This window comes from Homo sapiens, chromosome X (genome assembly GCF_000001405.40).
Source record: "Homo sapiens chromosome X, GRCh38.p14 Primary Assembly".
Lineage (NCBI taxonomy): Eukaryota > Metazoa > Chordata > Mammalia > Primates > Hominidae > Homo > Homo sapiens.
In genome coordinates this window covers 106,841,574-106,856,331 of record NC_000023.11, presented here as the reverse complement: position 1 = coordinate 106,856,331, position 14,758 = coordinate 106,841,574, and the positions used below count along the sequence as shown (strand labels likewise).

At 35.9% G+C, this 14,758-nt stretch overlaps 1 protein-coding gene across 6 annotated transcripts in view; it reads right to left on the bottom strand.

The window, feature by feature from the left end:
- TBC1D8B (TBC1 domain family member 8B) overlaps positions 1 to 14,758 on the bottom strand; it is a 73,478-nt gene that overhangs the window by 19,819 nt on the left and 38,901 nt on the right. For 3 of the 6 annotated variants that reach the window (NM_017752.3, NM_001441214.1, NM_001441215.1), the window contains 4 exons: positions 8,029 to 8,146; positions 6,022 to 6,307; positions 2,682 to 2,811; positions 2,036 to 2,134 (listed from right to left, as the gene is read on the bottom strand). In NM_017752.3, the coding sequence (NP_060222.2) occupies positions 2,036 to 2,134; positions 2,682 to 2,811; positions 6,022 to 6,307; positions 8,029 to 8,146 (633 nt within the window). Of the gene's footprint in view, positions 1 to 2,035; positions 2,135 to 2,681; positions 2,812 to 6,021; positions 6,308 to 6,498; positions 7,088 to 8,028; positions 8,147 to 14,758 lie in introns of those variants that run through there. The other 3 variants (NM_198881.2, XM_047442229.1, XR_001755701.2) reach the window with 2 other exon arrangements.

Genomic DNA, 14,758 nt, shown 5'->3' with positions numbered 1-14,758 from the left:
TGTATAATCTGAAAGACATTATAAAGATAATGAAAGAAATAATAAGACTAGGGGAAAATATTAGGCCACAAATATAGCTGACAAAGAACTGGTACTACTAATAGTCAAAAGAGCTTCTACAAATCAATACTTAAGACAATCTCATAGAAAAATAAGCAAAGGCTATGAATAGGCAATTAAGAGAAGAAATTAAAAAGGCTAATAAACATATGTGATCAGTGAATTGAAACCTTAAAAGTATTTGATCTATCACATTGGCACAAATTGAAGATTTTGTTTTGTTTTGTTTGTTTTAGAGACAAGGTCTAGCTCTGTTGCCCAGGCTGGAGTGCAGTGGCATGATTATAGCTTACTGTAGCCTGGAACTCCCAGGCTCAAGGTGATCCTCCCGTCGCAGCTTCCTGAGTAGCTGGGACTACGAGTGTGTGCCACCATGCCTGGCCAACAAATTCAAGATTTTAAATATCTGGTGTTAGTGAGAATGTGGGGAAAGGGGCATTCTTACAGGCTGCTGGTGGGATTACAATTTGGCAAAATCTTTTGAAGCATAATTTGGCAGGGACCTGTCAAATTTTAAATGGGCATACCCTTTTACCCAGCTTCCACTTCCAGATATCTATCTTGCAAAGAATAGATATACAAGAATGTTTACATAAAGTATTATTTGTAAGAGCAAAAAAGGGAGACATATTAAATGTACATCAGCAGTGAATAAATTATAGCATATCCATATTATGGCATACTATTCAATGCATTAGGAAGAGTGAGGTAGATCTATATTTACTGATATTCAATAACCATGATCTATTTCTGAATGAAAAAAGTTGCAGAGCAAAGTGACTGGTATGATCTCATTTCAAAAACTATATCCTTCCAATACACATGCATGTGTGCAGACACCTAGATAAAAGATCTGAAAGGATATATGCCAAATTATTTTAAGATGGTTACTTCTGGGGTGGGGAATCTACTTTTTACATTTATGTAATGCTTAAATTATTTACAGTGAGCATGTATTACTTCAGTAAATTTTTAAAAATGCTAACATATAAAAACTAAAACAAGGGGCCCTATGCTAACTATGTCACAGTAACCTCACTGAATTATTCAATTGAAATCTAAACCTGGAATCTTCAGAAACATTAATCTTCCCAGATTTGTATCTCTGAGGACCTTGGCCTTTAAGCAAGTAGGTTTACAAAAACAACACATGGTCATGATAAAAGCTCAAACAGTACAGAAGAATATAAACAGCAAAGTAAAACTCTCCTCCTTCTGACCAGCAATCTATTAATCCGATTCACCAAAGGCAACCAATATTAACAGTTGCTTATGGAGCCATCCAAATATTAAAAAGACAAGTATTTAAAACATAGTATTTACTTTAGGTATCCAAGGATAATAATATTCATTGGAGCACTGACTACTATGTAGATCGGCTGTTCTTACTGATGCAGCACATCACAAATATGTTATGCTTAAATGCCAACATGATAGCATTCAACACTGAGCTGCAGGCTAGGTGTGGTAGCTCACGCCTGTAATCCTAACCCTTTGGGAGGCCTAGGCAAGGAGGATCTCTTGAGCCCATGGGTTTGAGACAGCCTGGGAAACATACTGAGACCCTATCTCTAAAAAAAAAATTTAAAAATTAGCCAGGCATGGTGGTGTGTGCATGTAGTCCCAGCTCCTCGGTAGGCTGAGGAAGAAGGATCTCTTGAGCCCATGAGGTAGAGGCTACAGTGAGCTGCGATCATGCCACTGCACTCCAGCCTGGGCAACAGAACGAGACCCTGTCTCAGTGGTCTTGAAGGTCAAATAGTACAAAACATGTTGGAGAAAGCAACATAATTCAACCAGAAGAAAATAATGTATTTTCTCTAAAAAAGAATTTACCATAGGGTAAACCTTGGCAAGGATCTAGCTCAAAAGTTTAGTCCTTTTCATTTTATTCGCCCAGAAGATAATTTCTAAAGAAAGTTATAGAAAAAAAAAATTACTCCAACTGGTTTTTCCTCATTGGTTGCATACTTACCACATTCTGTTTTGTTGTTTCCTCTAGGGTCTGTATCACATACAACCTATTTCGACAGCGCATACTATGTATATCTTCATAGCGAATATTACCATATTTCTGCAAGAGATATGATTTCAGTGGCTACTCACTCATAATAAACATCCACTTTTTCTTTTACAATTCAGTTTTATCAGACTGAATTCTTGGAGGCCTTGATTCTATTTCTAGGGAATTTCCTGACTTGTTCAATGATTTTGCAAATTTTTACCTCCCACGTTTCAGTTTTTAAATATATTCACTGGAGAGAATTCCATCTACTATGTGAATAGACTAAGTACAAAAATATAGGTAAAATTCTTAATCTCTAAGAAGTGAATAATAATAATGAGAATAATTCACCTTTTAATCCAGTGATAGATGTTTAAAGTGGTCATTATTTGTGAAAGCAAGTGAATTTAATTTCATTTAATGAAAAACAAATTGAGGCAGAGGAGGTTACACAACCTAGAACAGTTCACAGAACTCATTTTAAAAGTTAAGTTGGATTTTAAGTTGTATGTCTACTTGCATTATTATCTTACACTTAATATACCATTAGAGATAGACCATAGTTCAATCATTTTAAATATGCTAGCTAATATATTTATGGCATGAAAAAACTTACCTCATTTGATTCTCTAATCAAATCTGTAATATCCACTCTAGTATGACTGGTTTTTTCATCACTCACATTTGAACCTTGCTGAACATTTGAAGGCAATGGACTATCCTTATTAGTGACATTGTCAAAGAACCTATTGAAAAGTGATAGTAATACAAGAATTAGTGGAACTACCATTATTAAAGCAGAGAAATGACACATAATTTCTCCCTAGTTAGTTAGAGGTTACTTTCAACTGAGAGGACAAGGGAAGGTCTTATGAAGAAGTGGAACTTTGTTGCTGTTTGCAGATGACATGATTGTATATCTAGAAAACCCCATCGTCTCAGCCCAAAATCTCCTCAAGCTGATAAGCAACTTCAGCAAAGTCTCAGGATACAAAATCAATGTACAAAAATCACAAGCATTCTTATACACCAATAACAGACAAACAGAGAGCCAAATCATGAGTGAACTCCCATTTACAATTGCTTCAAAGAGAATAAAATACCTAGGAATCCAACTTACAAGGGATGTGAAGGACCTCTTCAAGGAGAACTACAAACCACTGCTCAAGGAAATAAAAGAGGATACAAACAAATAGAAGAACATTCCATGCTCATAGGTAGGAAGAATCAATATCATGAAAATGGCCATACTGCCCAAGGTAATTTATAGATTCAATGCCATCCCCATCAAGCTACCAATGACTTTCTTCACAGAATTGGAAAAAACTACTTTAAAGTTCATATGGAACCAAAAAAGAGCCCGCATCGCCAAGTCAATCCTAAGGCAAAAGAACAAAGCTGGAGGCATCATGCTACCTGACTTCAAACTATACTACCAGGCTACAGGGCTACAGTAACAAAAACAGCATGGTACTGGTACCAAAACAGAGATATAGATCAATGGAACAGAACAGAGCCCTCAGAAATAATGCCGCATATCTACAACTATCTGATCTTTGACAAACCTGACAAAAACAAGCAATGGGGAAAGGATTCCCTATTTAATAAATGGTGCTGGGAAAACTGGCTAGCCATATGTAGAAAGCTGAAACTGGATCCCTTCCTTACACCTTATACAAAAATTAATTCAAGATGGATTACAGACTTACATGTTAGACCTAAAACCATAAAAACCCTAGAAGAAAACCTAGGCAATACCATTCAGGACATAGGCATGTGCAAGCACTTCATGTCTAAAACACCAAAAGCAATGGCAACAAAAGCCAAAATTGACAAATGGGATCTAATTAAACTAAAGAGCTTCTGCACAGCAAAAGAAACTACCATCAGAGTGAACAGGCAACCTACAGAATGGGAGAAAATTTTTGCAACCTACTCATCTGACAAAGGGCTAATATCCAGAATCTACAATGAACTCAAACAAATTTACAAGAAAAAAACAAACAACCCCATCAAAAAGTGGGCGAAGGACATGAACAGACACTTCTCAAAAGAAGACATTTATGCAGCCAAAAAACACATGAAAAAATGCTCATCATCACTGGCCATCAGAGAAATGCAAATCAAAACCACAATGAGATACCATCTCACACCAGTTAGAATGGCGATCATTAAAAAGTCAGGAAACAACAGGTACTGGAGAGGATGTGGAGAAATAGGAACACTTTTACACTGTTGGTGGGACTGTAAACTAGTTCAACCATTGTGGAAGTCAGTGTGGGGATTCCTCAGGGATCTAGAACTAGAAATACCATTTGACCCAGCCATCCCATTACTGGGTATATACCCAAAGGATTATAAATCATGCTGCTATAAAGACACATGCACACATATGTTTATAGCGGCACTATTCACAATAGCAAAGAGTTGGAACCACCCCAAATGTCCAACAACGATAGACTGGATTAAGAAAATGTGGCACATGTACACCATGGAATACTATGCAGCCATAAAAAATGATGAGTTCATGTCCTTTGTAGGGACATGGATGAAACTGGAAACCATCATTCTCAGCAAAATATCGCAAGGACAAAAAATGAAACATCGCATGTTCTCACTCATAGGTGGGAATTGAGCAATGAGAACACATGGACACAGGAAGGGGAACATCACACACTGGGGACTGTTGTGGGGTGGGGGAGGGGAGAGGGATAGCATTAGGAGATATACCTAATGTTAAATGATGAGTTAATGGGTGCAGCACACCAACATGGCACATGTATACATATGTAACAAACCTGCACGTTGTGCACATGTACCCTAAAACTTAAAGTATAATAATAACAAAAAAAGAAGTGGAACTTGTTTTTTGTTTTTGAGATGGAGTCTTGATCTGTCATCCAGGCTGGAATGCAATGGCACAATCTTGGCTCACTACAACCTCCGCCTCCTGATTTCAAACAATTATTCTGCCTCGGCCTCCCAAGTAGCTGGGATTACAGGTGTTCACCACCACGCCTGGCTAATTTTTGTATTTTTAGTCGAGACGAGGTTTTGCCATGTTGGCCAGGCTGGTCTTGAACTCCTGACCTCAGGTGATCCACCTGCCTCGGCCTCCGAAAGTGCTGGGATTACAGGCATGAGCCACCGCACCCGGTCAAGAAGTGGAGTTTGAAGATGGTTGAGCATTAGGAGGGCATGGGTGAGGGAAATGGGATAGTGTAGGAATCATTTTGGGGTTTTGAAGGAAGCAAACAGGCTCAGAGAGTACTTGGCAAATACCACACAGCTCAGTAAGAGTGGAATATAGGGTATGTAGAAGCATATAGGGGGAAATAAGTGAAGAAAGGTACACTGAGCCCTTACCACAGAGTTCTGAATGCCAGAGTAAGATGTTTGTATTTTATTCTGTACATAATGGGATTTCATGTGGCATTATGATAGTTGCCCACTCAAATTTATTCATTTAGCATATACAAATGTGTGCATATACACATACACACACATACAACACATGTGCTCCAATACAAAATAGCATTCATACAGAAGCTACTAGGAAAATAAAGTTCAACCCACCTGAAACCACATAGAAACCAGAATAACTTCCCGGCCACTGGATATTTAACATTATCAACTATGCTTTTCCTGCTTGAACTAATTCTACATAGACACTTTATAGCTCAAACTGGGAATATGAAAGTCCTAGCATACTGAATCAACAATATTAGTGTAAATGTGTACATAATTTAGTGGTTCACTTCAAAGTGATTTATTCTTGCTATATTTTTTCTGGAGATAGAGGACTGGACTTTAGGTGTAGCTCTTTCATTCAAGTGGTTTTGTAATCTCGGACAAACTGAAATTTCTAGGGCTCAGTTTCCTCTGTAAAATAGGGGATTGAACAACATCATCTCTCAAATCTCCTCCAGATTTAAATGTTATGGTTCTTACAATACCTGTTTAAGGCTGTCACAGCTTCAGCATCATCTTTACAAGTCAGCAGTTTGTCTAAATTATAGTCAAGTATTGCCAATCCCAGTTGCAAAATGGCCTTTATTCCATCATAGAAGAAACAGTCCACCACATTCACTGCACTTTCAATAGGTAGCACACTAATAAAAAGTGTGAGAAACCAAGAGAGAGAAACTGAGGAAAAGAATGTCATATCAGTCATGTGTTCTGTCAGCTGAGGAAGGTGATCCCTGATAAGTTCTTCAAAGACTGCCTGATCCACCAAGGCACCTACAGAATATCAAAAGAAGTTTAAAAATAAACATTTTTCAAAAGGACTTGTTTCCATACCTCCCCACTTCTATTAGCATGCTGATGTATCTCATTCTTCTTCCTTAAATTATGAACTCTTTCAGAACCTCTTCTGTATTTTATACATCTAACTGCTAGTAGTGTCATGTACTTCAGAAACACAATTCAAATTCATTTGAAGAGTTATTTATTGAGTCTTTATTATATGCAGAGACCTGTACTAGGTATTATAAGAGCTATACCAATTAATGAAATAGTCTCATGTTCAGGGAGTTTAATATCTAGCATAACACAAGATAAATACACAAATAATTAGAATTCTTCACTCTTGACAATGCCAAACAACAAAGTTCTCTAAGTTCATTTTGATTATCAAAAATTTATTCTGAATTTAACACTTCAGAAATGAATCAGTGACATGAGAGTCACACTTTCAGACTCCAGCAATACACAGAGAAAGCACTGATCCCTCTGATGAGTTCTCAGCTATCAATCAAGAGAAGCCAGGGCCTTCTAATTGGTTACCCTCTGCTTTGCCCAATAAGGCATCCACTTATATCCTGGTCAAGCTTTGAGGAAAACTCATCTTCTGTCTCAGAGTTCATTTCCTCCTTGATGGGAGAATTTGGGGAATAGGAGTAAGTAGTAGAAAATTGGAGAAAGAGCATGCCAGGTGCTACCCCAGATTTTCCTTTTTCTACTTCTCCCCAATAACACATTGTCCTTGGATTCTTACTAGTGGCATAAAATCATCTGAACCTAAAAAAAAAAAAAAAAAAAAAATACACAAATAATTATAATGAAAGACAGTAAAATCGATGACCTAACCACAATCCTGAAAGCCTATTACGGTACAAAGAGACCATTCATAAGTTTTAAGGTAAGTGGTCACAGATCTGTAAATATTTGATGATTAAAGAAAATATTGGCCAGGCGCGGTGGCTCACACCTGTAATCCCAGCACTTTGGGAGGCCGAGGTGGGTGGATCACGAGGTCAGGAGATTGAGACCATCCTGGCTAACACGGTGAAACCCCGTCTCTACTAAAAATACAAAAAAAAAAAAAATTAGCCAGGCGTGGTGGCGGGTGCCTGTAGTCCCAGCTACTCGGGAGGCTGAGGCAGGAGAATGGCGTGAACCCAGGAGGTGGAGCTTGCAGTAAGCCGAGGCCGCACTCCAGCCTGGGCGACAGAGCAAGACTCCGTCTCAATAAAATAAAATAAAATAAAATAAAAATTATACAATTAACAAACTAAGAACTCGATCCTTCTTTGAAATCTTGCAAATATCTATATAATTCATACAAATATGGAGATTTTAAGCAGATTGAAATCTCCCTCCCATCAAAAAACTACAAAAATTCACCAGTAGCTGTGGATACTTGAGATCACCATTGTTTTAGCAACATAGAGTTTATAAACTTAATGCTTCCATTTTTGTTAAGAAACAGACCAGGTATTTTATTTTTAAAAGCAACATATTAAACAATCTTTCTGACTATACATTCAGTACAAAAAGCTCTTCTTTTGAGAATGTCAGTGAATGTGACATTTTGATATTGCTTGCATTTTATACCACAACATAATCCATCAGTCCTTCTACTTTATTAGTAATTAGACAAGAGACACTGAAATTGTTTAGAAAGGAAATATACATCTCTGTGTGTGTATGCATATGTGTGTGTGTGGTTTTTCTTTTACCAATAATTCGACGATTAAAATAATCAGGCAACATTCGTTCACATACAGCAACCAGAAGCCAAAAAGCTTCTTCCTCTTTTGCATATAGAAGCAGCACTGAAGTCAAAATATTCATTGCCTAAAATTCATAGAAAACAGTATTAAAAAGCAAATATTGCTCAAGTAATAATTATACTTCTTCAAACATAATAGTTTTTGACAGCAACAAGAACAACTGAGAGTAATAATAGTGTAATAACAGTGGAAACATGAGAACTCTGAGCCAGTCCAAGGCAAAACAAGGTGAAGTCAGGCTAACATTTGATAATCAGTTATTTTATAAAGTAACATTCAAGAAAAGTGAAGCAGTAATATAATAAATACAGAACATAATAAGCAAAACCTCTCTAATTTCGAAGAGTGAAAAACCTTAATTATCACTAATCTGAAAAAAGCCTACATAATTTTCAAAGACATACTAAAACGAAAGAAAACGAACTTCATCTGTATTTCCAACTACCTATAAAGAAATAGCCCTCAGATATGAATCATCCTCAATTTTGTCCAAAACTGAATATCTTCTTTCCCCTATCAAGTAGGATTCTTCTTACCTATCCTAGTTTTGATTATGCTGAAAACCCTCTATCTGCTGCATCTGTTTCATATCCTAGAGTTTCTTCTTATAAAACGTCTTTCGGATTTGCTTTTTCCTTCCCATTCCCACTACCACTCTAACTTGCTGCTGCTTCTTACCTATCTTGCATACAAATGTCAGATCATTACTTTTATATACATTGCCACATCCCTTATTATAAAGTAATAAATCCTTAATGGATAGAATTTGGAGAGAATGGAAAAGTATGAATGAGAAAATAAAACCTCTTGTATCCTATGTACCCAGAAATAAACTGTTAACAAGTTGATATATTTTTCTGCAGTTTTTTCTTCCTTTTTCTCCTAAAATTTGTATCACACTGTGTACTAAATCTTTATTTTTTTGCTTAGCACTATATAGTAATATTCAATGCCACTAAATATTCTTCTAAAACAGTATTTTTAATGACTAAAAAAATCTAAGGTGGATCTAATATAAATTATTTAACCATTCTACTATTGTTGGACATTTAGGTTAATTCAAATTTTTTACTATTACATATAATGCTGCAATGGTTATCTTTTTTATATAAATTTTCATCCAACTATACTTTTTTCTCAGGACACATACCTAGAAATGAAATTGTTTGGTCACATGGTATTTTTAAAAGACTTCATATTATTGCCAAATTAAATTCCTGAAAGAAAATACCAATTTATATTTCTGACCAATAGTGTTTAAATGTTTATTTCACTGCATCTTTGCCAATATTGTGAATCGTAATAACTATAATCATCTTTATTGATTTGATAGTGAAAAATGGTAGCTCATTGTTTTAATTTTAATTTCTTTGAGGTTGAACTTTCTTTTTCAGACTTTAACATCAACCTGTATTTTCTCTTCTGTGATTAATCCTTTCATGTCCATTGCTCATTTTTATACTTTCATACCTTTCATATAGATTTGTATATTAACTATGCCAATTTCTTGCCTAATCTAGTACACTGTTTGATGTCAAGCTTAGTTTTTACTGAATCATTTTCCCATGCAAGAAGCCATACTAGGAGGGGATGTAGTAAAAATGGCAGAGTAAGAACTTCTAAAAATGCTCTCCTCTATAAAAGCAACAAGAACACTGACAAAAGTCATCGGAATCAACTTTAGAACTCTGGAAATTAACCAATAGCTTACAGCAATTCAGGTAGCATTTATTTAATAAAATGGCTGAATCTCAGTAAAACCAGTAAGCTCTGTGGCATTTTAAATTGCCCTATTCCCACCCCCCTCCCCAGTTTCACAGTAGCCTTAAAAACCAACATCTAGGCCGGGTGCGGTGGCTCATGCCTGTAATCCTAGCACTTTGGGAGGCCGAGGTGGGTGGATCACTTGAGGTCAGGAGTTCATAACCAGCCTGGCCGACATGGTGAAACCCAGTATCTACTAAAAATACAATAAAGAAAAAATAGCAGGGCATGGTGGTGCACACCTGTAATCCCAGCTACTCGTGAGGCTGAGACAGGAGAATCGCTTGAACCTGGGAGGTGGAGGTTGCAGTGAGCCAAGATCATGCCACTGCACTCCAGCCTGGGCAACAGAGTGAGACTCTATCATTAAAAAAAAAAAAAAAAAAAAAAGAGAGAGAGAGAGAAAAAAGAAAGAAACCAACATCTAGCAATTACAGTGGAAACCAGTACCTAGTAGCTACTGAATGGAACAGATTGGGGTTGGAACTCCAGCAAAGCCCCATTCCCAAATAATTGTTGTTATTTGACTTGTCTAGTGGTTCCCTGGAAGACTCCTCTCACAAGACTGTCTTTATTTGACTTGACACAGAGCTCCTCTGGTGTAAACAGCCTTTTCCCCTGTGGTGTTTGTTGAAAACAATCAGAGGCAGTTGTTGAACATGTGGCTATCCAAGGCAGTGGATAGCAGTTGGGCCAAACAATACGCTAACAAAGTGTTAAAAGAAAAGTGGGGGCTTTGAAAAACTGTGACATATTCCTGGGAACCCAGAAGGCCAACTACATGCATATGGCTTTATGTATACTCACAGTTGTATGTATTCTTAGGAAAGAACAGAAAAGACCTAAGCTCTTATCTCCAGCTAATCTTCCAGCTTTGTGCGAGCAGAAAGTGATAAAGACTAGAAATAATTCTAACTGCAAGAACAAAAAACCAAACACCGCATATTCTCACTCATAGGTGGGAATTGAACAATGAGAACACATGGACACAGGAAGGGGAACATCACACTCTGGGGACTGTTGTGGGGTGGGGGGAGGGGGAAGGGATAGCATTAGGAGATATACCTAATGCTAAATGATGAGTTAATGGGTGCAGCACACCAGCATGGCACATGTATACCTATGTAACTAACCTGCACATTGTGCACACGTACCCTAAAACTTAAAATATAATTAAAAAAAAGACTAGAAATAGAGAAAAATCAACAAAAGCAAAAGTTGGTTCTTTGAAAAGATTAAAAAAGACAAAAAGGATAAAAAACATAGAAATATTTTTAGGTAGCCTAACTAAAAAAATTTTCCAAAAAAAAAGAGCAAGAACGAGATAGTGCGAGTGAGAGATCAAGAGTGCAAAAGTGAGAGTGTGCAAGAGCAAGAGTGTGAGAAGGGGGACTCAAATTATTATAGCCAGGAAATAGAGAACTATCAACCTTATAGAAGTAAAAAAGATTATAAGTGATTATGATGAAAAATTATATGCCAACAAATTAGATAATCTAGATAAAATGGACGAGTTTCTAAAAAAAACCACAAACTACTGAAACTAAAATGGGAAAAGTGAAATAGACCTATAATAAATAAAGAGATTGACTTAGTAATGAAAAAACTTTCCACAAAGCAAACTCTAAGAGCAGATGGCTTCACTGGCAAATTCTACCAAACATTTAGAGAATAATTACCACCAATTCTTCATAAACTCTTCAAAAAATAGGAAAGGAGGAAACGCTATCCAACTTATTCTAAGAAACCTAGACACCCAAAGTAGACGAAGACATCACAAAAAAACTATATATCAATATATCTTACAAATATAAGCATAAAAATCCTCAACAACATGCTAGCAAACTGAACTTAAGAACACATAAAAAGGATCCCAAAAGGCCAAGTGGGATTTATTCTGGGAAAGCAAAAGTGATTCAACATATAACAATCCATCAATGTTTATATATATGTGTGTGTGTGTATATATATATATGTTTATATATATATGTTTATATATATATATATATGGAAAAAATAACATGATCATCTCAATTGACACAGAAAAATCATTTGACAAAATCAATACTCCTTCATGATAAAAACACTCAACAAACTAGCAATATAAGAGAACTTCCGCAACCTGATAAAGATGATCTACAAGAAACCCACAGTTAACATTATACTTTATGGTGAAAGACTGATTACTCCCCTTAAGATAAATAACAAGACAGGGACATGCATTCTTACCACTTCTATTCAACATTGTACCGAAGGTTCTAGCCTGGTCAACTAGGCAAGAATAAGGGAAAAAAAGACATCCATACTGGAATAAGAGAAGTAAAAGTAACACTATTCAGATGCCATGATTTTGTATATAGAAAATCCTAATTAATCCACAAAAAAATCTACTAGAACTAATAAATAAGCTTAGCAAACTTACAGAACACAAGATCAGTTATCAGTTGTATTTCTATATGCTGGCAACAAACAATCAAAACATGAAATCAAGAAAACAATTCAATTTACTATAATAACAAAAAATTAAAATACTTAGAAATAAAATTAACAAAGGAAGTACAAGCCTTGAACACTGAAAACTATAAAACATCTTTGGATGAGACAGATTAAAGAATGATTAAATAAATGAAAAGGAAAGACATCTTGTGTTTATGGGTTGGAAGAGTTAATATTGTTAATATGAAATACTCCCGAAATTGATCTACAGATTCAATATGATGACTATCAAAATCCCAGCTGCCTTTTTTTTTTCTTGTTTGCAGAGATTGACAAGTTGATCCTAAAATTTGTATGGAAATACAAGGAACTAAAAGAGCCAAAACAATCTTAGAAAAGAACAAAGTTAAAGAACTCACACTTCCTGATTGCAAAACTTACTACACAGATGCAGTAATCAAGACAATGTGGCACTGGTATAAGGGTAGAAGTATAAATCAATGGAATAGAATTGAGAGTCCAGAAATAAACTCTAACATTTATGGTCAACTAATTTTCAACAAGAGTGCCAAGGCACCACTTCACGCTCACCGGAATGGCTGCAATCAAAAAGAAAGACAATTAAGAAGTGTTGTCAAGGATGTGCAGAAATTAGAATCCTTGTACATACAATGAAGGGGAGATTTGGTAAAAAAATAAAATAAAATAAAGACAAAGAAAAAATAGAACCCTCATACATTGCTGGAGGGAATATAAAATGGTGCAGTCTCTTTGGAAAATAGTTTGACAGTGCGCCAAAATGTTAAACAGACAGTTATCATATAACCCAGAAATTTCACTTCAAGATATTTACCCACAAGAATAATAAAGCAATGTCCATAAAAAACTTGTACATGAATATTCATAGCAGCATTATTCACAACAGCCAAAACAAGAAAACATCTCAAATAACTATTAACATTGAATAAACAAAATGTGGTATATATCCATATAATGGAATATTATTAAATCATAAGAAAGAAGTCCTGATACATGCTACAACATGGATGAACTTTGAAAATGATATGCTAAGTAAAAGAAGGCAGGCACAAAAGATCACATATTGTATCACTCAATTTATATAAAATGTGCACAATAGGCATATTCATAGAGCTAGAAAGTAGATCAGTGATTGCTTGGGTTGGTAGTAGGAGAAATGGGGAGTAACTGCTAATGGATATGGGGCTTCTTTTTAGGGTGATGAAAATGTTCTGGAATTAGATAATGGTGAAGGTTTGCACAACTTTGTGAATATATGAGAGACCACTAAAGGGGTGACGTTTGTGGTAAGTGAATTATATATCAACATTAGATAGATAGATGGAGACAGATGATAGAAAAGATTAGAGAGACAGAATAGATAGATAGATAGATAGATAGATAGATAGATAGATAGATAGATAGATAGAGCAAGCTAGCCAGCCATGTGTCTCACGTGGGTTTTTGATCAAAACCAACAAAATCTGTCTACCATATTAAGTTTAAATTCTTTTCCCAGGCTTGAAAGATTCTTCATGATCTTGTGCCATACAAATTTACTTTTTTATTCCAATGTGAACCTAGCCAATCTTATCTCCCAAGGTGGGCTTATTCTCACCTGAATGGTATCACTCATACTTTAGCCCCAAATAACTTTCCTCCTGCCCTCCATGTTTCTAACTTTGCTCTCATCTTTTAGAAGTCAATATTAAGTGCTGCCTATTTTGAAGCTATCTCTAAACTACTGCTTATAGACAATATCACAGGGTCTGTGAGTATAAGCTCTTTGAGAAAAGAAGCATTATGCTTCTTTTGTACCTTTCAGAGATCCTAAAATATGCTAAAAATCCTTGCCATTTAGATGTTCCATTCACTTAAACAGTTTTTCAAAAAAAAAAAATCTCTATTGACAAGTTACAGTGGATAGGTAGTATTGACATGTAACAATTACAGGTATTCAACCCATTATAAATAAACGTATGGCACAGAGTGCTACCTATCCATGACATTCCAATCTCCTCTTCTTCCATAGTAGCTGCTCATGTCTGCTCAGCCACGCTATACTCCACAGACTTCCTTGTGAATAGGTGTATCCACGTGACTAAGATCATCCAATAGAATGTGCATGAAGTGATATTTGCCCCTTTCAAGCCTAGCCCATAAAATCTTTCACAGTTGTTTCTCCATGCTCTTTCCCTGTTCCTGTGAGTGCTAATGGTGATGAAAATGTACTCGGGAAGGTTTGTTTTGAAAATGACAGTCTGCTGTCAGTCTACAGTCTAAGTTCCTGAATAATCTCATGGAGGAGAGCTGCCTACTGACCTGAAGAGTCAATCTCCTTTGTTTATTCCTTCAAGAAATAAAATTATACTGTTTCATCTATTATCTGTGTTTGTGTTAGCAGTCTAGCCTATCCTAATTGATTGTGTGCTCCTAAATAATTTTTTTCCAATGATTC